At 42.2% G+C, this 26491-nt stretch overlaps 1 protein-coding gene across 5 annotated transcripts in view, besides 3 other annotated features; it reads left to right on the top strand.

Moving 5' to 3' along the window:
• Window positions 1-295: a silencer, noted in NCBI's record as "tiled region #3069; HepG2 Repressive DNase matched - State 8:EnhW, and K562 Repressive non-DNase unmatched - State 22:ReprW". NCBI's record gives its function as "represses a minimal TATA promoter and a strong SV40 promoter by Sharpr-MPRA in HepG2 and K562 cells {active_cell/tissue: HepG2 | K562}" and the evidence as "EXISTENCE:reporter gene assay evidence [ECO:0000049][PMID:27701403]".
• Window positions 5579-5918: a silencer, noted in NCBI's record as "silent region_18384". NCBI's record gives its function as "represses an Ori minimal core promoter by ATAC-STARR-seq in GM12878 lymphoblastoid cells {active_cell/tissue: GM12878}" and the evidence as "EXISTENCE:reporter gene assay evidence [ECO:0000049][PMID:35858748]".
• SLC25A13 (solute carrier family 25 member 13) overlaps window positions 5714-26491 on the top strand; it is a 201879-nt gene continuing 181101 nt past the window's right edge. For 4 of the 5 annotated variants that reach the window (NR_027662.2, NM_014251.3, NM_001160210.2 and 1 more), the window contains exon 1: window positions 5714-5870. Coding sequence is in view for 4 of the 5 variants with exons in the window: in NM_014251.3 (NP_055066.1) it covers window positions 5856-5870 (15 nt within the window). In the remaining variant the exon portion in view is untranslated. Of the gene's footprint in view, window positions 5871-18120; window positions 18275-26491 lie in introns of all 5 variants that reach the window. The other variant, XM_047419712.1, reaches the window with a different exon arrangement.
• Window positions 12883-13545: an enhancer, noted in NCBI's record as "NANOG-H3K27ac hESC enhancer chr7:95943579-95944241 (GRCh37/hg19 assembly coordinates)". NCBI's record gives its function as "activates a minimal SCP1, AML or CMV promoter by ChIP-STARR-seq in naive H9 embryonic stem cells {active_cell/tissue: H9 hESC(naive)}" and the evidence as "EXISTENCE:reporter gene assay evidence [ECO:0000049][PMID:30033119]".

Raw genomic sequence — 26491 nt, 5'->3', positions numbered from 1 at the left:
GGGAGCACGCTGGTAGTAGTAATGGTGCCTTTGTTTTCTTGTTTGTTTTAAATGAAGTTGAAGAGAATAAGATAGCTTAAAAGTAGGGTCAAAGGGCATCTACAAGGCGCAGGTATTCTGGAAAAGGTGAAAGCTCAGAGCAGGCCATGTTAGTCATTCTTCTGAACTCCCATGGCTTGGGCTCATGCTTAAGCTGTGTGCCTTGTTTGCATATAGCATTCCCCGTGATTTGAGTTGGCTGCTTTCCCAGCTGACAAGGTTGGCATATGGTGCTATAAAACACAGGTGGCTTTGGGGCCTGTACTGGTTTCCCAGGGCAGTTTTAACAGAGTACCACAAACTGGGTGCCCTCACACAACAGAAATTTATTCTCTAACAGTTTTGGAGGATAGAAGTCACAAACTGAGTTGTCAGCAGGGCCATGATCCCTCTGAGACTCTGGGTAGCATCCCTTCTTGCCTCCTGCTAACTTCTGGGGGGGTTGTTGATTCCTGGCATTCCTTGGCTTGCAGCTGCATCCCTCTAATCTCTGCCTTTGTTAACACATGGGACTCTCCCAGAGTATCTCTGTGTCTTCTTACAAAAACACCAGTTTATATTGGATTAAGGACCCACCCTACTCTGTATGAAATCAACTAATTACAACTTTAATTTCCAAATAAGGTCACAATTGGAGGCTGGTATTGTTTGGCTATGTCCCCACCCAAATCTCATTGTGAATTGTAGTTCCCATAATCCCCACATGTTGTGGTAGGGACCTGGTGGGAGGTAACCGAATCATGAGGGAGGTTACCCCCAGGCTGCTGTTCTCATGATAATGAGTGATAATGAGTAAGTTCTCATGAGATCTTATGGTTTCATAAGGGGCTTTTCCCCTTTGCTCAGCACTTCTCCTTTCTGCTGCCACGTGAAGGACATGTTTGCTTCCCCTTCTGTCATGATTGTAAGTTTCCTAAGGCCTCTCCAGCCATGCTGAACTGTGAGTCAATGAAACCTCTTTCCTTTATAAATTACCCAGTCTTGGGTATGTCTTTATTAGTAGCATGAGAACAAACTAATACGTAGGTACTGGGGAGTTAAGACTTTTGGATGACACAATTTAATCCATAACAGGGCCTTTTCAGTCAAAATTCAGTGCCAGCTACTGTTAATGGTAGGAAAGAGGGTAATCTGGGAATAGTGAAGAGGGACAAATATCAGGAGGGCATGTAAGCCTGTAATGATAAGAAAAAATGAAAGATACCTAGCCAGTTCACACTTTATCTTCTTAGATGATGTTTCACATCATGCTGTTATTTACAGATGAAATGGAGCCCAGGGAGCATCTTTGACTTCTTTATTTCTAGGTTCATGACAGTTTAATATTTTTAAAATTTCATATTTTGAGGAATTCTAGAATGAGGAGGGGAGCTTAATCAAGTAAGTATGACTCCAAATGTAAATTGAAATATACTTTTACAATATGTATCCATAGTGTGGTAGGTTTGGTAAACTGAATGATAGGCCCCCTAAATATGTCCATGTCCTGATCCTAATCCCTAGAGATTTTGAATGGTACTTTATGCAGTACAGACTTGGCAGATGTGATCAAATTAAGTATCTGGAGATGGAGAGAGTACTTTGGATTATCTAGGTGGGCTCTAAATGCAATCACACATGTCCTTATAAAAAGGAGGTAGAGGAAGGTTACAGACAGACAGGTCATGTGATAAAAGCAGAGTCAGATATATGGTGCTATGCCCATTGGCTCTGAAGGTGAAGAAGGGTGCCATGAGCCCTTAGACAAGACAAAGAAACATCATTCTCCTGTAAAGCCTCTGAGAGAGAACAGTCCTGCTGACACTTTGATTTTAGCCCCACAAGACTCACTTCGGACATCTGGCCTTCATAATGGTAAGAGAACAAATTTCTATTGTTTTAAGCTACCAAGTTTGTGGTAATTTGTTATGGCAGCCACAGGAAACTAACACAGAGTATAATTCATCGTTTTAAATGCAAAAATATGGTCAGGTGGGTGGTTCATGCCTATAATTTCGGCACTTTGGGAGGCCAAGGTGAGTGGATCACTTGAGTCCAGTAGTTCAAGACCAGGCTGGGCAACCTGGTAAAACCCCATCTCTACCAAAATATACAAAAATTAGCTGGGCATGGTGGTGTGTGCCTGTGGTCCCAGCGACTTGGGAGGCTGAAATGGGAGGATCAATTGAGCCCCAGAGATCAAGGCTGCAGTGAGCTGAGATCACGCTACTGCACTCCAACCTGGGCAACAGTCTTAAAAATAAATACATAAACAAAATAGGCCAGGCGCAATGACTCATGCCTGTAGCCCCAGCACTTTAGGAAGCTGAGGCAGGAGGATTGCTTGAGCCCAGGAGTCTGAGACCAGCCTGGGCAACATGGCAAAACCCCATCTCTACCAAAAAATATAAATTTAGATGGGTATGGCAGTGCATGCCTGTGGTTCCAACTACTTGGGAGGCTGAGGTGAGAGGATCCTTTGAGCCCAAGAGGAGGAGGTTGCAATGAGCTGAGATCACACCACTGCACTCCAGCCTGGGCAACAGGGTGAGACCCTGTCTCAAGAAATACAAAAACAAAAAATAAAGTAAAATAAATATGTCTTGATACACACACATAAGCACAGCAAGACATGAAAAAATACAGTAGAATGTTAACAATGGCTAACTCTATTGATAGGATTATCAGTGATTTTTTGGCCATTACTATGATTTTCTGAATTTTCAAAAATGTCAAGAAGAAGTATAATGGACTTTTTCTATTAAAAAAATTAATGGAATATTGTTCAACCTTGAAGAGGAAGGAAATTCTGACACATGCTATATAACATGTATGAAGGTTGAAGACATTATGCTACAAAACACAAATACCATATGATTCCATTTATTAGGTACCTAGAGTAGTCAGATTTATAGGAGCAAAGTAGAATGGTGGTTGTCAGGGGGTTGGGAGATGGAGTGGTTGTTTAATGAGTACAGAGTTTCAGCTTTGCAAGATGAAAAGAGTTCTGGAGATTGGCTGCACAACAATGTGAAAGTATTTCACTACTAAACTGTACATTTCAAAATGGTCAAGATGGTACATTTTATGTATATTTTATTACATTAAAAATTTTTTGTTTCATTTACATTATAAAAGGAGAGCTTTAATGATGCCCTTAAAAATAAATACGTGGTACATGATGTAATTTTGTTCTTTACATGAGGTTGTATTTTCTCACCTCCTTTTACACTCCCCTTGTGGCAGCTGGGGCCATCCTCCACAGGAGCTTCAGACTTGTCCCCTTGTCATAATTTTCTCTAACAATTCTCCTGGTTTTCCTTTTGTCTTTTTTTTTTTTTTACTTTTTGCTGATCTTTCTTCTCTGCCTATGAACATGGTCAAGTCTTCTGGGCTTTGTTGAACCTTTTGAGAGTAGGTTAAATAGTTGCTTCTTTCTGTAATGCTTCTTTCTTAAGCTTCTACAACATAATTTGTATGTTGGACATACATTCTCCTTACAGACAGACTCACACACCTCAAAACACTCCTCTTGAATTACCAATCTCAGGTGTTTTTCCAGACACCCATACCACAAGTCTATGTGCAATATGGCACAACTCCCTTTTTCCGTCCCAACCCCACTAATTTTACCTTCTATGTATTCCTCTAGTCCTAGCCCATCCCCAGCCTGTCTCGTCTGGACATCCTGGTAGTTCAGTTGGAACCCATCCTCCATACTGCAAGCAGTGTTTTAGTCCATTTTGTGTTGCTGTAAGGGAATTCCTGAGACTAGAAGAACAGGACGGAAATGTATTTCTCACAGTTCTAGACGCTAGGAAGTCCAAGATCAAAGTGCTGGCAGGTTACGGCCTGGTTTCTCTGCTTCCAAGATGGCTCTTTGAATGCTGTGTCCTTCAAAGGTGAGGAATGCTATGTTCTTATATGGCAAAAGAGCAGAAGAGCAAGAGAGAGTGAACCCACTCCCCAAACCTCTTTTTATGGCAGCATTAATCCATTTATGAGGGCAGAGCCCTTGTGATGAAAATACCTCCCCAAGGACCCAACCTTCCAACACTGATGCATTAGAGATTGTATCCAACACATCAATTTTGGGGGGCACATTCAGACCATAGAGAGATCTTTCTATATCGAAAACCTAGTCATGCTGCTTCCTGACTTAAAACCCTTCAGTTAAGGTGCATACCCTTCAGCAAGGCGCCTAAGACCCACCATGACACAGCCCCTACCTGCTGGGCCAGACTCCTTCCACTAGTCGTGCCACTGCCCCAATCCCATAGCTCAAGATCAAGTTACCTTTTGATATGGTTTGACCGTGTCACTACCCAAATCTCATCTTAAATTGTAGTTCCCATAATCCCCACATGTCATGGGAAGGACCCGGTGAGAGACAACGGAATCATGGGGGCGGTTACTCCCATGCTGTTCTTGTGATAGTGAGTTCTTATGAGATCTGATGGTTTTACAAGGGGCTTTCCCCCCTTTGCTTGGCACTCATTCTCTCTCCTGCAACCCTGTAAAGAGGTGCCTTCCACCACAACTGTAAGTTTCCTGAGGTCTCCCAAACCATGCGAAACTGAGTCAATTAAATCTTTTGGTTTATAAATTACCCAGTCTCAGGTATTTCTTCATAGTGGCATGAGAATTCTCAGTATTCTTATTGAGCCCTGGGAACAGTCTGCTGCCTTAACAGGTTATACTGAAGTAAACATTTATGTGTCTCTTTCCCAATAGCCCTGAAGCTGTTTAACGGTTGGAACCAGTTCTTAAGTCATTTCGGGGTTTCCAGCACCAAGCACAGTGCCTAGCACATAGTAGGAAGGCACTCAATCAACGTTAATGAATTAAACTGATTAGTAATAAGTGCTTTTTGCTGCCATATTACATCCACAACCTACAATACATTAAAAGTCCTTTTCCCTGATCACCACTGTCTTATAAATTTTGATTACAAGGACAGAAGAATGAAATCCTGATGAAGAGGAGTAAGGCCTGGAGGTCATATAAGCAAATTTTCATTAAAATGCTTGTTTATTTATTTTAGTAGGGCCTATTTGGGGGAAGTCTTTTGACCCGGGCCTTTTGACTTCTACCGTTTTAACAGGTAGGGCTGAAATGGAGTAGTTTCATGAATATACGTTCTGCACTACATTCACTTGTTGGGTTCTTAAGAGTTCACCGATTTTGATCTAAAAGTAGGCGTGCCAGCAATATTTGCAATCTCGCCTTCTAAGTCAATGCTTTTGGATCAAAGTCTTTTTGGATCCAGTGTAAAGTGGAGCTCCTTCAAAGGGAACGCACAGGGGAAAAAATATCCAGCAAAGTATGTGTCCTAGTGGAGTTCTCAACTTCCCCAGGCCGTGCACCATCTGTCGTTACTTGCCCCTCCCATCGGTCCGAGGGCCCAGTAGCCCCTGGTATCAGCAGAAGCCAGCAGCTTCCCTGGTGGGGCCACCTGCCCTCAGGTGACGGGCTTGCACACGGCCAAGTTACCTCTGCCCACGCCGCAGAGGCCGCCGCTGCTGGACAGCGCAGCGGGGTCACGTGTCCCTGTCCAGCCACTGCCCCAGGATCTGAGCCCTCCCCGGCTGCAGGGCAGAGGCCGCTGGATCACGCGCACCCCGGCGGCCAAGGCTGGGCCCAGCCAATGGGCGGGCAGCATCCACATGACCCGCGCCGGCGGGAGGGCGTGGGGAGGCAGGCCAGGAACGCACGCTGCCTGGCCGTATCGCCGCCCCCACCGCCGCCGCCGCCGGGACTAGAAGTGAGCCGCCCGGGTCCCAAACGCCAGCCAGCCAGTCAGTGGGTCCCGCAGTCGCCCGCAACCGGGGCGAATCATGGCGGCCGCCAAGGTAACCGCGGGCCCGAGGCCGGGGGGAGCGCGCCTGCCGGATCAGCCTGGGGGTGCGAGAGGCTCGGGCGCTCACGTGTCTGGGTTGGTGCCACAGGCGGAGCAAAATGGGGTGCCGGGCAGCCGTTCCACCTTGCGGCTGCTGGAGGGAGGGGGCCACTCCTCCCGGGCAGCACAGGCGGTCGGTGCAGAGACCGAGGCCCGACCTCGCAGCGGAAACTTTGTGGGCCGGACACTCCCACTTGGCCGGGGAGGGAAGTTGGTGCCTGACGGGGCTGAGCCAGGGCCGACGAGGAGGAGCGGGCGCGACTGGGGCCTGGTGCACCCTGGGCCGGCAAGCGCTGGGGGTCCTCTCTACCTTCCCAGCGCGCTCCTGCTCCTGACCCCGCTGGTTGTTGACTCCGGCTTCTTCCAGGGGCCAGAGCCCGGGCTGAAGCCTGATCCTATTACGTTTCAAGGGCTCCGCCCTCCCGCGGGTGGGGAAGTTACTTTGACTTCCGTTTTGGAAACTGCCTAGGAGACTTGGTCTGCGCCTTTGTGAATAAAAAGTCCAGGGACTCTCCCCCTCCCCGCTTTCCCATCATTCCCATCTTCCCCCTCCCTCTCTCCATCTGACAACACTTAGATACCCGCCTCGGAGCATTTGAGAGGCTTCTTTTTGGGAACGATGAAACAGATTGTCCTGGGAGCCTGTCACTCCTGTGAAGTTGTACTTGAAAGGGGTTCTGTGTAATGTGAATCATTCACTAACCCAGAGGAAAGGCAACTCCAACACTTGACCTTTCCTCTTTCACCATTTCTTGAAACCTGGACACCATTTCAGTCTCTTTGGACTGCATTTCAACTTCTCTGGCAGAATACCATATTTAGTCCCAATCACTTGAATCATTTGGAATTTATTGCTTTTAATTTAAGTTCACGAAGGCAGCCCTCTAATCAAGCCTATACAACTTCTTAGCTCATTTTAAGTGCAGTGAACTTAAATATACCTAACATTTCAAACATTTGTCCTTAATCAAAACTCTGTGATAACCCTCAAGAGGAAAACATGGCCAACACATCATATTCCTATTTATTCAAGCAAACTAATCACATTTGCAATGGAAATTGTAAGCAGACAAATATATTTAAATGCTGTTCTATGACTTAAGTCTCTCCAGGCTCCCCAAATCCGTAGGCTTCTTCATGTTGTTAGTTTCTGTGGTCTAAGTGGCATTTCTCTTTTCTGTAATTACTCTGAGTTTCATCCTTAGGAAAGTACTCTGGGTGTGTGGGCTCATGTATGTTTGCATATGAACACACAGGTGTGCGTGTGTATATCTATCTATAACTTTTCAGCAGTTTCTCTGAGCATCACTAGGATTCAATTTTGGAAGCTGCCTTAACCCTTTCAAGCCCAATAGCCCTTGACCTTTTTTTTGCATTAAATTTGCATGCAACCAAGGTACAAGGCTTGGTATGAACTAATTCCCTAGAGTAGGTGGGACTAGGTACCCATTCTTTACTGTTAGTTTTATATCTGCAGGTAATGTAAATACTTTTACTTTATTAGGAGATAAGGTAATTGAGGAACATAAATTGAGACGTGTGCATAGAAATGGAGTATAAGACTTGAGTAATATTAAGTAAAATAAGTGACCTGGTGCTGTGGCTCATGCCTGTAATCCCAGCACTTTGGGAGGCTGGGGCGGGCGGGTCAGTTGAGGCCAGGAGTTCGAGACCAGCCTGGCCAACGTGGCAAAACCCTGTCTCTACTAAAAATACAAAAAAGTTAGCTAGGCGTGCTGGTGGGCACCTGTAATCCCAGCTACTCAGGATGCTGAGGCAGAAGAATCGCTTAAACTCAGGAGGCGGAGATTGCAGTGAGCCGAGATTGTGCCATTGCACTCCAGTCTGGGCAACAGAGCAAGACCCTGTCTCAAAAACAAATAACAACAACGACAAAACATAAAATAAGTGATATGGAAGTTAGTTCAACTCTTTGGTTGTACTTCTACATAATAGTAGAAGTGTCACATATCAAGGGCAGTTGATTTTTAGCTAAGTATTGAGTCAGGGAAAATGAAATGTTCATTTTTACTACTTGGGAGCTTGTGTTTTTGTTTATGTCTTCATTTGCACTCACCTCTTTCTGTGATATCTGATGGCTCACATCATATATACTTATTTTGCAATCCAATAAGATATATAAAAATCAATTCCAAGTAGATGGGAAAAACAGGACAAAGGGAAAGTAAGACAAAGCCAGGACTAAGGTTAGTGGAACATTATGTGCTTACTAGAGGTGATTGCATTTTCTCCCAGCCAAAGCAAAGAGGAAATGATCAGTGAGGTCATTTACTTGGGAGAGAAGTCTCCTTATACTGCTCTCTGAGAGCAGTTTTTTTTTTTTTTTTTTTTTTGAGATGGAGTCTTGCTCTGTTGCCAGGCTGGAGTGCAGTGGCATGATCTTGCCTCACTGTAACCTCTGCCTTCTGGGTTCAAGTGATTCTCCTGCCTCAGCCTCCCAAGTATCTGGGACTACAGGCACGTGCCACCACACCCAGCTAATTTTTGTATTTTTAGTAGGCCAACATCATGTTGGCCAGGCTGGTCTTGGATCTCTTGACCTCGTGATCTGCCTGCCTTAACCTCCCAAAATGCAGGGATTACAGGCATGAGCCACCACGCCCAGCCGAGCAGTTTCTTTTATATGCTGTGAGTGAACGGCATTTGAATCTACCTTGTGACCACAGATATATGTCTGTGGGTTACATAAGGCCATTTCTTATCATGTCCTTCATTATAACTCAATGGCAGTGCAGTAAATGTGGCCTTAAAAGGTCCCTCAATGAAGCTGCTGGTCTAACTTATTCCAAGAATGTCCCTTATTGAACTGCCTTTGGGCATCACCTTTATCGGTTGATTCTGTTGGCAGCCTGAGTTAAAGGCTGTGCTCCTTGCTTTTTCCCTGGAGCATAGCTATTCCATGTTGCCAGCTGAACACAGAGCCATAGGGGTAGGGTTGGCATTCCCTCTTAAAAGTTGAGGAGCCTGGATAGGAGAGGACTTCACCTCAATGGACTGTTAGGAAATTGGGCTGAGACTCTGGGGACTCAGCAACTGTGAGAATTCCAACACTCACTACACTCACTGTGACAAATTGTTTGAATATTTAAGCAGATTTGGTATTTTCTGGATAGATGTAGCCACAACTAGCAATTAGTTTTCTGATCTGTTTCTTTCTTTGGTCTTTATACTTATTTAAATACAGCTAATTATTCATGACCTTCCTTTAAATAGTTTTAATGGGGAGATGGAGAATCTAGTCTTTGGCTGCTTTTTATTTTGAATTTTGCTATGAAGATTACTAGTTAATGGTTCAAGAAGTGTTTGTTTTCTTTCGTGAATGAACATTAATCTAAAACTCTTAGTATTCTGAGATTATCTCAAAAAGTGTCCATTCTCTTGCTGCCTACGTTTGTAGGAATAATCCTTGTGGGTTCCCTTGTTAGATCTGCCTGTACTGTTTGCGTTGTTTGAATATTTCTTTTAAACATTTCCCAAAACTGCCATAAAAAAACAGTTTTAAAAGGTGGTAATTGAGAGGTCACCCTTTTCTTCGTCTCTGCCCTTTTCTTGGTTAAAGGAGAGCTTTCTTCTTCGTCATTGGTTAAATTTATGCGTTACGAATGATGTAATTAACCTATATGAACCTACTAAAAGTTAGAATATGCTCCCTTGAGTTCAGACCTGTGAGATGTTCTGGGGTAAAACTGAACACAGACCAATATTAGCCTAGAACCAAAAGAAGGAAATTTGGGGGCACATTAAAGCATTAATAATAAAGACAATTTGGTCTGTAGGACTAGTACACTTTGTATTGACTTTTCATTCTTGGATGAGTTGTTGCTGTGATCATTGATTCATTTATGTGTATTGTGTTCTTTCCAGTGTTGCAAATGGGACAAAATTGAGAATACTAAAATGAATTGTTAGCTGGGCATGGTGGCACGCATCTGTGGTCCCGGCTACTTGGGAGGCTAAGGCAGGAGGATCACTTGAGCCCAGAAGGCAGAGGTTGCAGTGAGCTGAGATAGCACCACTGTACTCCAGCTTGGGTTACAGAACGAGATCCTGTCTCAAAAAAAAATAAAATAAAGTAAAATAAAATAATAAAATAAAATAAAATAGAATAAAATAAATAAAATGAATTGGACTCCATTTTGATGTTCAAGAAAACCAAAACCATTCCAGGGGGCTAAGTTCTCTGATGGAAATGCTCCCACTACAAGGTTTGTGGGAGCAGTAGGAGAAGAGCCCATTTCTGAGGAGATGAGGGAAGTCTTCTGAAAATTGCTAGTATTTCAGAAGGAATGGATGGGGAAGAGTAAAGATCCAATCCAGTGGTTGGAAACAAATGAAGGGCTGGGAGGTGAGAGCACAGGCTACATTTAGTTAACAGCAGGTAATAAAAACTAAAAGCAGCTGACACTTACTGAGCGCTTACTAGATACCAAATTCAGTTCCAAATGTGTTTCATTGTTGATTCATTTAAAATTCAGTTCCAACTGTGTTTCGTTGTTGATTCATTTAATGCCTCAGCCTTTTGAGTTAGTTACTATCATCCTTTTTTTATAGATGAAGGCTCTGAGATACCAAGAGGTGATGTTAGTGGCCTAAGATCTGATAAGTATGGCTGGGTACGGTGGCTCACACCTATAATCCCAGCACCTTGGGAGGCCGAGGCAGGTGAATCACCTCAGGTCAGGAATTTGAGACCAGCCTGGCCAGTCTGGCCCATCTCTACTAAAAATAGGAAACAATTAGCCGGGCATAGTGGTGCATTCTTGTAATCTCAGCTGCTCGGGAGGCTGAGGTAGGGGAATTTGCTTCAACCTGGGAGGCGGAGGTTGCAGTGAGCTGACGTCGTGCCATTGCACTCCAGCCTGGGTGACAGAGCAAGACTCTGTCTCAAAAAAATAAAATAAAATAAAAAAGATCGGATAATTAGGAAATTATCGAGCTGGGGTTCAAATCCTGCCAGTCTGGCTCCAGCAGCTGTGGCCTCACTCTGTCCACCATGTGTGCCTGGTAGTTTAGTGTGGTGGAGAATAAAGTATATGGGAGAGGTGTGGGAGATGACTTAGGAGAGGGGTAGGTGTCTCAGTGTAAACCAGACTTTTATTTGAGAACTGCCTTACCTAGTGCTTTTTGCATGCCAGGTACTTTTCCAAGAGCCTTACAAATAGTAACTCAATTAATTTTCTTAATTCTAAGAAGTAGGTGCTTTCTGTTTTTGACTTCAACTTACAGGTGAGAAAACTGAGTTAGGGGAGGTTAAGTAATTTCTCACGCTTGTGCAACAGGTAAGTGCTACAGTCTTGATTTGAACCTTGCCAATGTGTCTTCAGAGTCTCTGCTCTTAACCTCTGCGCTGCTCTCCCAGGTCTTACCAAGAGTTCCATTTGCGAAGGTGTATGTGTGAGAGTTCACATGCCATCGGGTATGGATGTGTATATTTCCTGATCATCCCAGTCCAGTAGTTCTTATCTTAGAACACCTTTGTCACTCTGTATATGCTTCATTTCAGTGTTTATTAAGTGTATTTCTCATCTCTCCAACCAGATCGCAAATCCCTGCAGGACAGGAATTGTCATATACCTTTTATTTAATTGCTTTATTGAGATATAATTCAAGTACTATACAATTTACCCATTTAAAGCATATGATTTATTGGTTTTCAATATATGCACAGAGTTGTGTAACTGTCACCACTGTCATATACCTTTAATCCAGTTTCCATTAGGATTTGGACTATAATATATATATATATATTTGGGACAGGGTCTCACTCTCTCACCCAGGTGGAAGTGCAGTGGTGTGATTATTGCTCACTCTAGCCTAGACCTCGTGGATACAAGAGATCCTCCCACCGCAGCCTCCTGAATAGCTAGGACCTCAGGCACACACCACCACACCCAGCTAATTAAAATTTTTTTTTTTTTTGTAGAGACGGGGGTCTTGCTATGTCGCCCAGGCTTTGGGCTGTATATTTAACCTCCATGTCTTCCACATTGTTCACCCATCATAAAACCCTCTTCAGAGGTTTGTCATTGAGGATAAAATATATTGAGGTTATTAAAGATATTCTTCAAATGGCAGGGTTTTTTCTCCCCTATGTAAAAACTCTACTAAGTATTTGGTGATATCATAATAAAACAAATCAGTTTTTGTGCTAGGAATGGAGGAAAGAAGGTTTGAGTTGTTTTTATGCTACCATGATGATGATTATTAAAACAAATATCTATGGCTCCACTGTTTGGGTTTTAGGGGTTCTTATCTTGTTGGAGCTGGATGGCCTTGGAATTTATGTTAACACAATGATCTTTACTCTTTCCTTCCTCAGTCCTGTCCCCTTTTACCAGGAGAGTCCTAGAAATGGAGTCCCAGAAACATTTGTTATTGGTCCAAATTCCCATGAATGCCTTTGCTTTTGGCACTGCTCTAGGCCAGTGATTCCCTACATACTGAAGTCTTCTGGACTGGTATAAAAAACTGCTGATGCCTGGGTCTCCCTCCAGAGATCATGATTGAATTGGACTTGGGTGTGGCCTGAGCCTCAGGATTTTTGAAAGCTTGACAACCACTGTTATTTTGGTGCACATTGCTTCAAGAGACCTGCTGGCTCCTTCTTGGAGTAAGAATGGAATGCAGTGAGATTAAGTTAAAGTCCCTGGTGTGTCAGTTCAAAGGAGGGGTATGTAGGGGTTTCTCCAAATTTCTCTTCTTTCTTGACAGCTTTGTCTTAGTCCTGCCTGGTGTCTCCAGGGTGCTTAGGCATCAAGTTTATACAGTTTTGTGATAATCCTGGAATAGAGGTTTTAATCCCAAACTTGACTGAAAGCTCCATTTGTCTCCTGCAGAGTCTCAGTGGTTTTTTGTGATCAGAGAAGGTGCTGGAGGAGGGAAGCATTACAAAGAGCAAACCTGGTCTCAGAGCCCTCTCCTGGGCTAACCTCATCCAGGGCCATGTGGTGCCAGTGTTCCCTGGCTTAGGTCATATGGCTTCACAGCAAATAGAGGGTTGGAAAGGTGTGGGGAGAGTTGAAAGGTGATATGTAGCGTAAAAAAGTCAGGGAGCAGGTCTTTTTTGGATATTGAGTTCTTTTAGAAGATTGTCCGAGGAGCTCTGACTCCTCTGTGCTTTGGTCTCTTAGACCTTTAGTCCCATGACCAGTCTCTGCTTTTGATGAATTCTTAGAGGGAACCATTCCTCCCTTTGTTCTCCACTATGTGTGAGGATTATCTATTATGGCATTCCTGCTGAGCGCTTCCTCCTCTCTGGTTGGCATTTGCTGCCTCATAAACACCTACAGATTTCCTCATAAGACTCTGTGGGTTTGCCTTAGGGTGGACCTTGCAACAGAGGAATGTGTGACGCTGAGACATGTGTTGGTTCTGCTTGGAGGTAAGGAGGGGGATATGCCTTTGTGTAGTGATACAATTCCTTTAGCAAAGTATTTAACAGCTACTGAGCAAACTCTATTTTCATGGCCTGTTTAACCAGACAGACCCTCTAATTGGGTGAAATGAACTAAATTAAATGTCCTTCTCCTAAAAGTCACCAGTAACCTCAGTTCTAAACCTGTTGGCTTGTCCTCATTTCTGGCCTCACATGACCCTGTGTCCTACCCTTTCTTTCTCGCCATCTGCTTTCATGATGTCCCCTCTCATTATTGGCCTCTAGCATCTCATATTACCCCTTTATTCTCCTTTGCAGGCTTCTTCTTCTTCTTCCTTCTTCTTCGTCCTTCATCCTTTCTCCTCCTTCCTTCCTCCTTCTTCCTCCTCCTTCTCCTTCCTTCTTCTTTCTTCTTTCGTCTTCTTTCTTCCCAGCAAAGATATATTTTTATTTTAGTGTTTAGCAGCATGACATATGCATATAGAATGATAGTACACTTTACCCTAATCTTCAAAACAGAATGTACTAGTTTACCAATGAGGAATTTTGGCCAAAAATGTAGTGTTTTTCCCTTCCCTGTACAGGTCAGGTATATGTAGGTCCAGCACTAATGCTGCACCTTTTGAGAAGCATTACTTTAGCAAAAATCTAGAAATCTTTCACTTTTTCTGAATCTAACAAAGGGTCTTACTTTCTTTTTTTTTAAATGTACATTTTAAAAAATAATTTCAACTTTTATTTTAGATTCCGGAGGTACATGTACAGATTTGTTACCTGGATATATTGCATGATGCTGAGGCTTGGGGTACAGTTGACCCCATCACCCAGGTACTGAGCATAGTACCCAATAATTAGTTTTTCAACCCTTGTTCCCCTCCCTCCTCCCTCTAGTAGTCCCCAGTGTCTATTGTTGCCATCTTTATGTCCATGAGTACCCATTGTTTAGCTCCCACTTATAAGTGAGAACATGTGATATTTGGTTTTCTGTTCCTGCATTAATTCACTTAGGATCATAGCCTCCAGCTGCATCCATGTTGTTGCAAAGGACATGATTTTGTTCTTTTTATATCTGCAAGGTATTCCACGGTGGATATATACCACATTTTCTTTATGCAATTCACCATTGATGGGCACCTAGGTTGGTTTCCTGTCTTTGCTACTGTGAATAGTGCTGTGCCTTGTGGGCTTCTCTTCATTCTGCCTGGACACCTGGAAGGTTAGTGTCCCCCAAGGCTGTGCCTGAGATTGTCTCCTCCCTCCAGTTCCTGCCGCACTACCTGCCCCCTTAATGGGTATTGGCTCCTTAACACTCCTCAGCCTGGGTGGCTGTCTCAAGCTCTAGCCCTGCACTTTTAGCTGTTTAGTTTGAGCTGGAAGACTCAACTTGTCTGTCTCAAAGATATTTCAAACTCTGCTGACCTAGAACTCACCAGTTCTTATAACTGAATCCATCTTTTTGGTCATTCCTGACTTCATCCTGCAGCTTCACTTTCCTGATAAAGTTTCTAGTTAGTTCAATTAAGTACCTGTTATGGGCAGATAGGAGAGACACCATCAGCCTGAATTGGATGTGGCAAAAGAGGTGGATCAGTGAAACCCTTCTACGGCCATGGAGCATGTATGTCCTATCTTCTCTGTTCAAATTCAGGGCCTCTTTATTTTGTAGCTGTACCATTGCTGTAGCTCCCACTGATCCCCTTGCTTTTGATCTCATCCCTACACCTTCCTCTCCATTCTGTCCAGACTGCCAAAGGACTTTTCTAAGATTGGCTCTTGTTGCCATGATAATAGCACTACCGTGTTCATGGGTACAGTACTTAGCAGCTTTAAAAAGTGCATTCAAGGGCATAAGTGACGACGACTGTTTGTCAGTGCCTACACTGTGCTGGGATTCCAAAAACAGGTAAGCTACTAGATTTGTTTTCAAGAAGCTCAAAGTCTTCAGGGATTAATATAACCAGATAATATAAAGACCCAAGCTTCATTATTTGATCTTTATAATCATCTACAAGGTAGCAGGGAACGTGTTGATAACCTCATTTGTCAGATAAAGAAACCTAAGGCTCAAAAAGGTTATGCAAATAATAATAATAATATTAGCATATGTTTATATAACACTTGTAAAAGCCGGACACTGTTCCAAGCACTTTATATCTACTAATGCAATCTTCATAACAATCCTATGACATGTAAGTGCTCTCACCTTCATAATATACATCGAGAAACTCATTTGTACAGAGTAGTTAAGTTCTTTGAGGTACAGAGAGATTACATAACTTGCCCAAGATCACATGGCTTGTAAATAGGAGAGCTATGATTTCAACACAGGCAGCCTGGCTCCAGAGCCCAAGCACATAACCAGTGTGCTGCATTGCCCTCTTTAATTTATCTTGCTATGCAGTGTGGCTTCTGTTGCCTGCAGAATAAAATTTAAACTCTTTAGCCAGCTAAAATCTCCTTGGTCTTGGCTGCATTTTCAATACTTTTAATTTAGTACTTTCCCAGTATTACCCCAGACTCATTCGATTTTCATATTCTTCACAGCAGTTTGTGAACGGGACATAACAACCTCTGTTCATATTTCTTGCCATAAAGCTATGGCAACAGGGTAGCAGGATAAAAGAGAGCCTGTTTATTTGTTTGTTTAACATAGAGGTCAGTCAGAGACAGAAATGTTTCTTTTTTTTTAGCCTTTGTCAGAAAGAAATACTTCTTTTCATTTCTCTGTATTGGTGGGCAGATATATATATATTTGTCTGAGTTCTTCTCTTCAGTTTTCAGAAGGGGTTGTGGTTCTATTTTCCCATTTCTTGAAGTCCCTGTAGGAATGCTAAAACCCATGTCCTAAGATTACAGTTTTTATAGTTGGTTTGTTCTAATCAATATTCAGATATAGTCCACACATGGCTGGTTGATACGTCTTTTAAATCTTGTTAATCTATAGGTTTTCCTGCCCCCTTTTTGGTTGTTTCCTTGCAGTTTATTTGATGAGGGAATTGGGTCGTCTTTCCTGTAATTTCCCACAATTTGGACTTTGCTGATTACGTCTTTGTGGTGTTGCTTGGCCTCAGTATTTCCTGCAAGTGACAGTTTAATCTAAAAGCTTGATCAAGTTAGAGTCTTTTTTGGTTTTGGCTAGAATACTTCCTAGATGGTGCTTAGAGCTTCCCATCACATTGCTGGGTACTTGGTACTGGGTACTCACATGAGGAAGCACCTAATTCTTGGTTGTTTCTTGTGATGTTACGTTTTGGTCAGTGGTTTCAGATGTTGTTATCTTAAGTCCACCAGCTTTTTGCATAATGGTTTTAATTAGCTAACTTTAAATATTAACATTTGCCCTTCCTGGTACATTGAGTTAAAAGTGATTTTCATTATTTAAATACACACTCTTGTGTGTATGTATGCATATTATGTATGTATGTATGTCTATATATGAGTATATATCATTGTTATAAAAAATAATGGCAATTAAAATTCAATTGGATATTAATGGGTTTAGAGTTTATGTTTGGGATGATGAAATGGGTAATGGTGATGTAGAACATTGTGAATGTACTTAATGCCACTGAATTGTATACTTAAAAATGGTTACAATGGTAAACTTTATGGTATGTATATTTTACCACAATGAAGACAAATCAATTGGAAAGGGATTGTAACACATGGAATTAAAAAAATCCAACACAACATAATGAGTGATAATTATTGCTCCCTAAAAGGAGCCAAAGTGAGTTGGAGAATAGACTGATAAAGTTTCTTTACTGAAGAATGCTAGCTAATAAAGGTAGAAGCTATGCTAGAATTAGAAAAAGGAAAAAAAATTGACTTTGCCACCTGCAAGTAATAATTGATTCAGGCATGGATCATCATTGGATGCTGAAGCCTTTCAGTAAAAGACTGTTGGAATTCCCATTGTCTGAATGCATCTCCTAGTAAATTACTTGCTGTTTACAGAGGGGAAAAAGTACCTTTACAATGGAGAAATCTGCTTCAACCAAGTGATCATCAGCAAATGGGATAAACTAGCATTATGTTACCGACTGATATTATGCATTGGGAAGTATACAACATGAACCTAAAAATGTTCTTGCCAAAAATATTTAATCTGGATCTAATCGTGAGGAAACAATCAGACAAATCCAGAAAGTAGGACATGCTGCAAGACCTCTGGCTTGACTTCAAAAATGTCAGTGTTATGAATGAAGAAGGCTGGAATAAAGGAAACTCCCAAAGAGACCTGATGACCAAATACAATGCTTGAGCCTGGGTTAAAAACAAATAAAGAAAAGAATCGAAACAGCTGGAATATGGGGACCATATTAAAAGATATTGTATTAGTTTGCTAGGGCTGCCATAACAAAGTACTAGAGACTGGATGGCTTAAACAGCAGAAATTTATTTTTTCACAGTTCTGGAAGTTAAAAGTCTGAGATGGAGACCCCAGCAAGTTTGGTTTCTCCTGAGGCCTTCTCTCCTTGGCTTGTAGATGGGTGTCTTCATGTGGTTCCTTCTCTGTCTGTATCCTAATTTCCTCTTCGTATAAGGACACCAGTCTTATTGGATTAGGGTCCCCTTCATCATCTCATTTTAACTTAATAACCTTTTCAAAGACCCTATCTTCATATATGGCCAGTCATCTTCCGAGGGGCTGGGATTGGAACTTCAACATATGAATTAGGTGTGGGGGACACAGTTCAGCCCATAACAGTTATTGAATCATTTAAAAATGGCTTGGGTGAGATAATGATGTCAAGGTTCTGAAGGGAAGTGATCTTTGCTGCTGATTTATTTTGTTTCCTCCTAGATTTTGAACTCTTGAGGACAAGGACCTTCTCTGGACACAGATATGCCTCAGAGTAACTGTTGCATAGCATTCAGACACTGCTGGTTGAATTGTCCATTTACTTGGCATGCCAACACATGGCAAAGTAAAGGGGGAAGGAGATTTTCTGCTGCATGTATGTGGTTTGTTGTAAACCTTTTTCTAATAATCCATTTGCTCAATCCTCTCCATCCCCCAACAAAGTAATATGATGAGAATTTGGAAATACTTGAGGAGTTGTGCATGGGTAATCGCCAGGTGAGCACATCATGGAGAATCAGAAATTCAGAACAGACCTTGGCAGGGGTTGTGCTGTCCCAAGGTAGATGAATCTCTATGACTACAGAAAGGCTGCTTCAAAAGGAGGCACCTAGAGAAACTCTCCCTTGTGATTAAAAAAGCCCAGGTACATTAGAGGGCAAAATTCCCAGCAGGTCCAAACAATGTGTTCCATTGCTGCTGTTTCAGCCCTGCTAGTCTCAGTAGTACCCTGGGTCATCAGATGGCTTGAAGGACAAGAGGGTGATATCCTGTCTCTTCTTTGACTTTGTTGTGCTCACTGGCAAGGAGTTTCATTCACTTCTGAGAATTCACACACTCATTTTATTGCAGGCTGATGTTGATTCTGAGTTTGAGGATGCCAACATCTTTTCATTGCCTCCCAGCTCAGTTCCAGAAGTGAAAGCTCAGTCCTAGATTCTTTTTTTATGGTGGTTCATGAAGATTTCAGTTAATCCATTTGTGGTGTCCAACAGCAACTTGAGAAGAGCCTGGTCTTGACCTTTGCCCAATTTTCTATTGGTTTATTTGCCTTTTCACATTGATTTGTTCTAAGAGCGCTTGTAAATGAAGAACATTGCCCCTTTGTCCTATCTATTGCAAATTTTGTTGTTGTTTTTCTTCTCAGTTGTTGTTTAACTGATTTATATTCACTTTTTAAATTGTTATGTCAAATATTTATCATTTTTTTCTTTATGGCTTCTGGATTATATGGCTTCTGAGTTTGTCATGTTTGAAATCAGCTTCCCTACTTAACATTACATAAGAAACCACCTGTGCGTTTTTCTAGTACTTTTTGAAATTCTCTCTCTCTCCTTTTAAAGATTAACTCTGATCCAGCTGTAGTTCTTTTGGTATAAGATGAAAGGTAGGGAGCCAGTTTAATTTTTGTTGCTCAACCCCAGGAGTTCGTGACCCTTCACTAGTGCCACATCATCAGCTAGAGAGACCTGCTGCTAATTCAGCCTGAATCTGCTGGTTCAGCCTTCAGAGGAAATCTGATTAGTTCAGAAAGCCAAGATCACCTCCCCACAGGGGTCAGGTATCTGCTGCTGCCTCAATCAGCTAGGCTGCTCTGAATATGAAGAGTAACTGGGAAGCAAGGCGCTGCTAGATTGTCTCAAGTTGTGCTGTTTTCATTCAATTGTTATTCTCTATTCTCTTACTTTTAGCAGATGAGAAAACAAGAGGTCATGCTGCTGGTTAACAGTGGAGTCAGATTTTTTTTTTTTTTTTTTTTGGAGATGGAGTTTCGCTCTTGTTGCCCAGGCTAGAGTGCAGTGGCACGATCTTGGCTCACTGCAACCTCTTGAACCCTGGTTCAAGTGATTCTCCTACCTCAGCCTCCCGAATAGCCGGGATTACAGGCATGTGCCACCGTGCCCGGCTAAATTTTTGTATTTTTAGTAGAGACTGAGTTTCTCCGTGGTGGTCAGGCTGGTCTTGAACTCCTGACCTCAGGTGATCCACCCACCTCAGCCTCCCAAAGTGCTGGGATTACAGGCGTGAGCCACTGCGCCCGGCCGCAGTGGAGTCAGATTTAAATGTTCCATTGCAAAGCTCATGAAATAGGAAACATTCTATGAGGGGAATCTGGTTGGAGAATCCTGGAGGAAGAGGCATTTGACTTAGTCCTTGAAAGAACAGCATCATTTTTTAAACTTCTCATTATGGAAATTTCCCAAAAAGTGCAAAACTGGAATAGTATAATTAACCCTCATCTCCCTATCTAGCCAGTAGTAATCATCAATTTATGTCCTCAATATTGTTTCATTTATGCCATGCCCTCTTTCCTCCTTCCATCCCTACTTTTTTTTTTTTAATTAAATTTTTGTTTTTGGAGACAGGATGTTGCTCTGTCACCCAGGCTGGCGTGCAGTGGCGCGATTATGGCTCACTGCGGTCTCAACCAACAGTCCTCCCACCTCAGCCTCCTGAGTAGTTGGGACTACAGGCACATGCCACCATGCCTGGCTAATTCATCCCCATATGTTTTTCAAAGCAAACTCAGCCATCCTATCTGTAAATATTTTATGTATCTCTAAACAAGATTTCTTCAAAGCACAATCACAATATCATTATTATACTTTAAAAAATTATAATAATTCTTCAATATCTTCAAATAGGTGTTCTGTACACATTGTACACATTTCCCGTATTGTCTTAAAATTTTTTAAATAGTTGTTGAATTGTGATGTATATAAGGTTCATGCATTACAACTGATGTGTCTTAATTTTCTTTATTTTTTTTTTTAAATTACAAAGCTACCTTTATACTTTTAAGCCCCACAGGAATAAAAAACACTGGGAAGGGCTAACCCCCTCACCCCAGGAGTGGCCCATAGGGAGAGAGGCTACCTGAGGGGAAGGAAGTACAAAAGGGACCCACCGCAGACTCATGGCAAAGGGAAGCCATCGGTGCTGGGACCTGTGGTCACTACAGGAGGAAATGCGAGTGTGGTGGGACTGGCTCCAGGCACACAAGTGAAGGGCAAGAGAGATTGGAGTGAAGCCACAAAGCTACTTGGGTTCCTCCTTCTTCTCGTTTGCCTTTTTCTGCTTCTGCTGCATGATCTCCTGAGTCCCTGGGGGTAGAGATGATAGGGCACTAGGAGGTATCAGAGGGCAAAAAGAACAAAATGCAGAGGGATGAAGGGCACAAAAGAGAAGATGGAAGTGGATGGGACTAAGCTCACCGTTTGGCTGCTGTACTCCCATCCTAGGAGAAGAAGAGGAAGAGAGCTGAGGCTCAAAAGGCAATCAGTCTCCATCCTGCAGTTGCCCAAGAGGTCAGAAGTCTGGCCACATAGGCCCAAGGCTCTCTACCGTTTGGCTGCTGTACTCCCATCGTAGGAGAACAAGAGGAAGAGAGCTGAGGCTCAAAAGGCAAGCAGTCTCCATCCTGCAGTTGCCCAAGAGGTCAGAAGTCTGGCCACACAGGCCCAAGGCTCTCTATTCTTACACCAGTAAGAAGGTTGGGAGAAGGGAGGAGAACCGGGAACAGCAAGGAGGGCCAGAAGCACTGGGCTGTCATAACCACAGGTGTATCTGAAATGGGAAGCTCCCTGCCCTTGCCCTGAAGGTCAGACTGGGGGATGCTCAGAAATCAGACTCTTGTGTCCTAATTTTCTTTTGATCTCTGGATTCTCTTGCCTGCTCAATACTGTGCTTTCTTTTCCTCTGAAGGACAGTGTCACATAATGGCTGAAATCATAGATTTGCAATCAAATTAGGGCTCTGCCACTTGCTAACTGTGTGACTTGGGGAAGTTACTCAACCTCTCTGTGCCTCAGTTTCCTCATCTGTAAAATGGACATAACGGTGTCTACTCCTCAGGGCTGTTGAGAGTGTCAGTAAGCTAATGTTTGCAAAGCATTAGAGTCATGTCAAAAGCTGTGGGCTGTGGAATAGGGCCCAGGAGGGCTCACTCAAGTGAGATGGTGTGTCGTCTTTGAGATGAGCCTCCAGCTGTGCAGAGAGCCCCTTTCCTTTTCCTTTTTGCTTCCTTCTGGTTCTTGACGTGCTTCAGTTAGATGAGGTTGATAGCAGGAATTTGGACAGGTAAGGCATATTTAATGGAAGCAACTTCTTTATTGTCCTTTCATTTTTGGCTTCCTCTTCCTCTGTATTTATTAAATTAGCTTTTCTCTCTCAGAAGTGTTTAACTTTTTATGGCATTATCTGGGCTTCAGCAACTTGTGATCTCCTAAGTAGAGCTTTTCAGCACTTTATAAATACGTCATATACTTTTTATATTCCTTTGTTCCCCATCAGGAACATAGCCCCAGTCTTCAGAATAGCACAATCAGTTTTTATTCATTTAAGGAGCAGTAGTAATTTGACACTTGCTAATATGTAACAAATTATATTGGGCGTGGTAATTACAATTGCAGCTGGTTCCTAATTATACTGTAACCTTGATGCTTACAAAAATTGAGACTGAATTCAGCATAAAATACTGGAGAATAATATTCTGCACTAGGCATTTCTGCCTTCTACTGAGCCATGGGCATTTATGAATCATAATGCCAAATTAAAAAGAATTTATTTTAAATTGGTTACAATTACAATGTTGTCCAGTGTCTCCATTCTTAAAGGTAGCTTTAAAGTCCCCCTTTTTGCTTGCTAAACTCTGGGAATATCCTTCAGGTATTATAATTAGTGTCTAAATAACCTGAGCTCAGGGGTCATTTCTGGCTGTGTGATCTACTGGTATTCATTTAAGACTCTTTAGTACCTCAGCTTCTTTATTTGAAAAGTGGGGATATTACTCACTCTTCCCCTTAAAGAGTTTTAATGATACAGTATATAAATGAAATAAGATAAAAAGCCATTAGCATAATGCCTGGCATAGAGTTAAGGACCCAGTAAAAGTTAGCTGGTCATTGTTATCGTTATAATTAATAATAAGTGATCCGGCTCCAAAGACTGCCTCTGTGACCCTCAACTTTAGCAGAATTAGTGTATTAATTCTCCTGCCACTCTGCCTTATGATAGCATGTATCATCATACATTTTGTACCAACCACTTGTCGATAAGTCAGCTTTCCCTGCTTGGGGCAGGGTTTCTGATTTATTGGGTGTTTTCTCCTCGGTGCCTGGCGCTGGGCCTAGTACACTGCAGCTTTCCCATAGGTGATTGTGTTGCATGGATGAGCAAGTAGAGCATCACCATCTAAGGAGTGGTTGTTAGCTGGGGGGTGGGGTAGTTTGGCCCCCAAGAGGATTTCTTTTAGCAACCTCTGGAGACAGTTTCTTGGTTGTTGCAGCTTGTTGGGGAAGGGGTTGCTACTCCCATCTAGCAGGTAGAGGTCAGCTTAATAACAATAATAGTAAAATCCAGAACTAGTATGTTTCAGGCTCTTTTGGCATAACAGAACCCAGCTAAAACACCACCATTCATTCTTAACTGTTATACTCTGCCTCTTAATATCAGAATTTTAATGATGATGGCTTTCTAGTTTATGTTCTACAACAGAGCAGAGTGAAATCTAACATACATCACAACCTACTGAATCCTTCTGATAAACATCTCTAGTGCCTCTGAAATGACTCGCTGATGTAATTACCCAGTGGGTTAACATTTGTGGTGTCTGATACTTTATAAGTCAACTGTTGAGTGAAATGAAGTTTTGCCAGCTGATTACATAGAAATGTTGTGGTTTGAAGAATGCTTAACAGGGCATCTTGTCTTTGTACTAATTTATATTTCAGTAACTTTTCCCATAATGACTGCTCTTCATTTATTAGGTCGTAGGGAAACTGTAGGATGAAGGATGAGTGACTCAGTGGTTTCAATAAAAAATTATTTTCTTAAGTTTGAGATACCTTTTTCTTCTTCTCAAGTTAATGGTAACTGTGGTTTTAGGGAATTCCAAACTTTCTTTTGCAATTACTGATTGTATCAGTCAGGGCTCACTCGCAGAGAACAGAATCTACTCTAGCTGGTTTAAGCAGAGAGAGATTTATTACAGGATATTAAATGGCTTACACAATTTGTTGGGAAGGTAAAGAAACAGACTTGAGGTTGAGCTCTAAAGAATGACGTCTAGAGTCTCAAGCAGAGCAGGCCACCAAGACAGCAGTGACCTCCTGTGCAGTCACAATGCTGCCTGCCAAGTGGAGAGTGTTTCAGGACCATGTGGCCACTGACATGGGAGGGCAGGAGGTTGCCACAGGAAAACTAGACACTTCCAGCAATGGTGCGTGCTTGGCAGAAACAGCAGAAGGTGCCCCCCAACTCCCAAACATTTGCCAAATCTCACTCAATTTCATCTAATTGATGGCACATAGGCCGCATAGCAGCAAGGGAGTCTGGGAATTGTAGTTTCAGCCTTCTAGTGTCTTTAGTATAGGAAGATAAAGAAGGAGGGTGGGCCCCTGCTTCTAAGTGGTTAGGTTACACCCAAGAATACTTTTCTTTGGGATTCAGGGCCATCTACTGCACTATTTCCTCAGGTTCAAAAGACTATGCAGGACTGTTTCTCCTTCTCTCTCCGTTTCCTGCTTGTCACTGCATGCTTATTTACACCCACCCACCCACACACACACCCAGAAGCTTGCTTTTGATGAGCTACCTCTTTGAGTTTGTAGTTCTTATCTAAGGCAAATATTTACTTTATGATAGTAGAATTTTCAGTGTAAGTCTGTGCTTGTCTTGGCTTTCAGATGTTTCAGGTTTGGGAGGGTGACTGGGGAAGTATTGCTGAGGAAGGGCTGTGCTGTACAGTTGGTGACGTAGCAGCTGAGGTTGGGCCTCGGGTCCTAACGCAGTTGTTCTCAGTCCACCCACACATGGTAATTTCTTGAGGGAGCTCTAAAGATATCCATTCTAGAAATTTTCATTTGATTGACCTTTGGTATGGTTTGGGTTTTGTAAAACCTAAAAGCACCTCAGGGGACTTGAATATGCAGCGAGGACTGAGAACCTACATCTTATAATCCGTACATTAAAATTGGACATTATCTAAAGCTGTGGTTCTTAAACTTTAACTGCATCAGGGTCACCTGGAGGGCTTGTTAAATCATAGGGGATTGCTGGGCCTCACCCAGTTTCTGATTCTTTGGGTCTGGGATGGGTGTGATAATTTGTATTTTTAAAAGTTCCCAGGTGATGCTGATGGTCTCCACACTTTGAGAACCATTGGTCTGAAGAGAGTTGCCTATTTTCATTGTAAATGTCAGATTTTTACTGACCTGAAAGACTTTATTCTATATTCAGCACTTCCAGAGAATCTACTTTGTTTCCTGATCTTTGCCAGAGTTGGGGTTGATCTGAGGAGTAAGGTGCCCTCACAGAGATGGTGGTCTCACATCTCTACAGCCTCCCAGTGAAAGAGGAGAGCTTTGCTTTTCTTTGCATTTTATTTTTCAAATTAGCATTTCTTATTTTCGTGTAGGTTTTCTTATATTCTTCCCCACCATCCTCTCTTAGATCTGACAACTATTTTGAATACACCATTCTATACCACTGTGATTTGTTAAAGTAATGAGCCTGCAACTGTGGCTTGATTCCCTTGTAAGAAAGTCTGTTTAAAAAATATTCCTACAGGTAGGAATTTTCTGGTGACCCCCTACCTATGGCTGCTCTAACTCATATTAGGAGAGTGAATTCATTTGTCCTGAAAGATGACTTTTGTATTCTTCTTGCCATGTTCTCCCCTACCCCCTGCCTTTTTAAAAACACCAGTTCTTGAAATTGTGTTATTGTTTTTCTTTTTATTTCTAGGATGTACCTACCTAGTATGTGTTTTGCAAACGCTATTGATGACTTACACAATTATAACCAGTGTTTATCTTGTCAAAAAGTTTTACATATTCAGTGATTCTCAAATTTTGCTCCTGTGGAGCATAGACTCATTGAATCGACCTGAAATTTCCATACTAAATTTAAATAATGATAGACTTTTCCCAGTTTATGGAAGAAACTATGCATAGAGTTTTTCTGTTCCAACATTGCCACTTTCTGGGCCAGGCATGGTGGCTCATGCTTGTAAACCCAGCACTTTGGGAGGCCAAGATGGAAGGATCACTTGAGGCCAGGAGTTTGAGACTAGCTTGAGCAACATAGTGAGACTGTCTCTACAAAAAAATTAAAAAATTAGTGGGGCCTGGTGACACATGCATTTAGCCTCAGCTACTCAGGAGGCTGAGGTGGGAGGATTGCTTGAGCCCAGGAGTGTGAGGCTGCAGTAAGCCATGATCGCACCACTGCACTCCAGCCTGAGTGACACAATGAGACCCCCAACTAAAAAAAAAAAAAACAAAACACCAAAACCCTCTCTTTTTCCCTTAAATTTGGAATCAGAGTAAAATGTTATCAAATTTCAACAAAATTCTTTATCTTGTTAGCAAATAATATTTCATAGTAATCTGTAAAGGACCCCTTTCTTCTTAGTGAATTACTCTGTATGTTTGAAAACCAGTTACTTGATTTAAAATTCTTGATATAAAATTTTTGTTTTAATGTTGGAATCCATTCTTACAAATGCAAATTCAGAAGAAGAATCATAAAGAAAATCAGGCAGTTATAACAATAGTAGCTGTAAATATTTGCATGCTATTAATATATGAGA

Source organism: Homo sapiens, chromosome 7, assembly GCF_000001405.40.
Source record: "Homo sapiens chromosome 7, GRCh38.p14 Primary Assembly".
In the NCBI taxonomy this organism is placed as follows: domain Eukaryota; kingdom Metazoa; phylum Chordata; class Mammalia; order Primates; family Hominidae; genus Homo; species Homo sapiens.
Note: the sequence above shows the minus strand (reverse complement) of the source record. Positions and strands in the feature narration are given on the sequence as shown.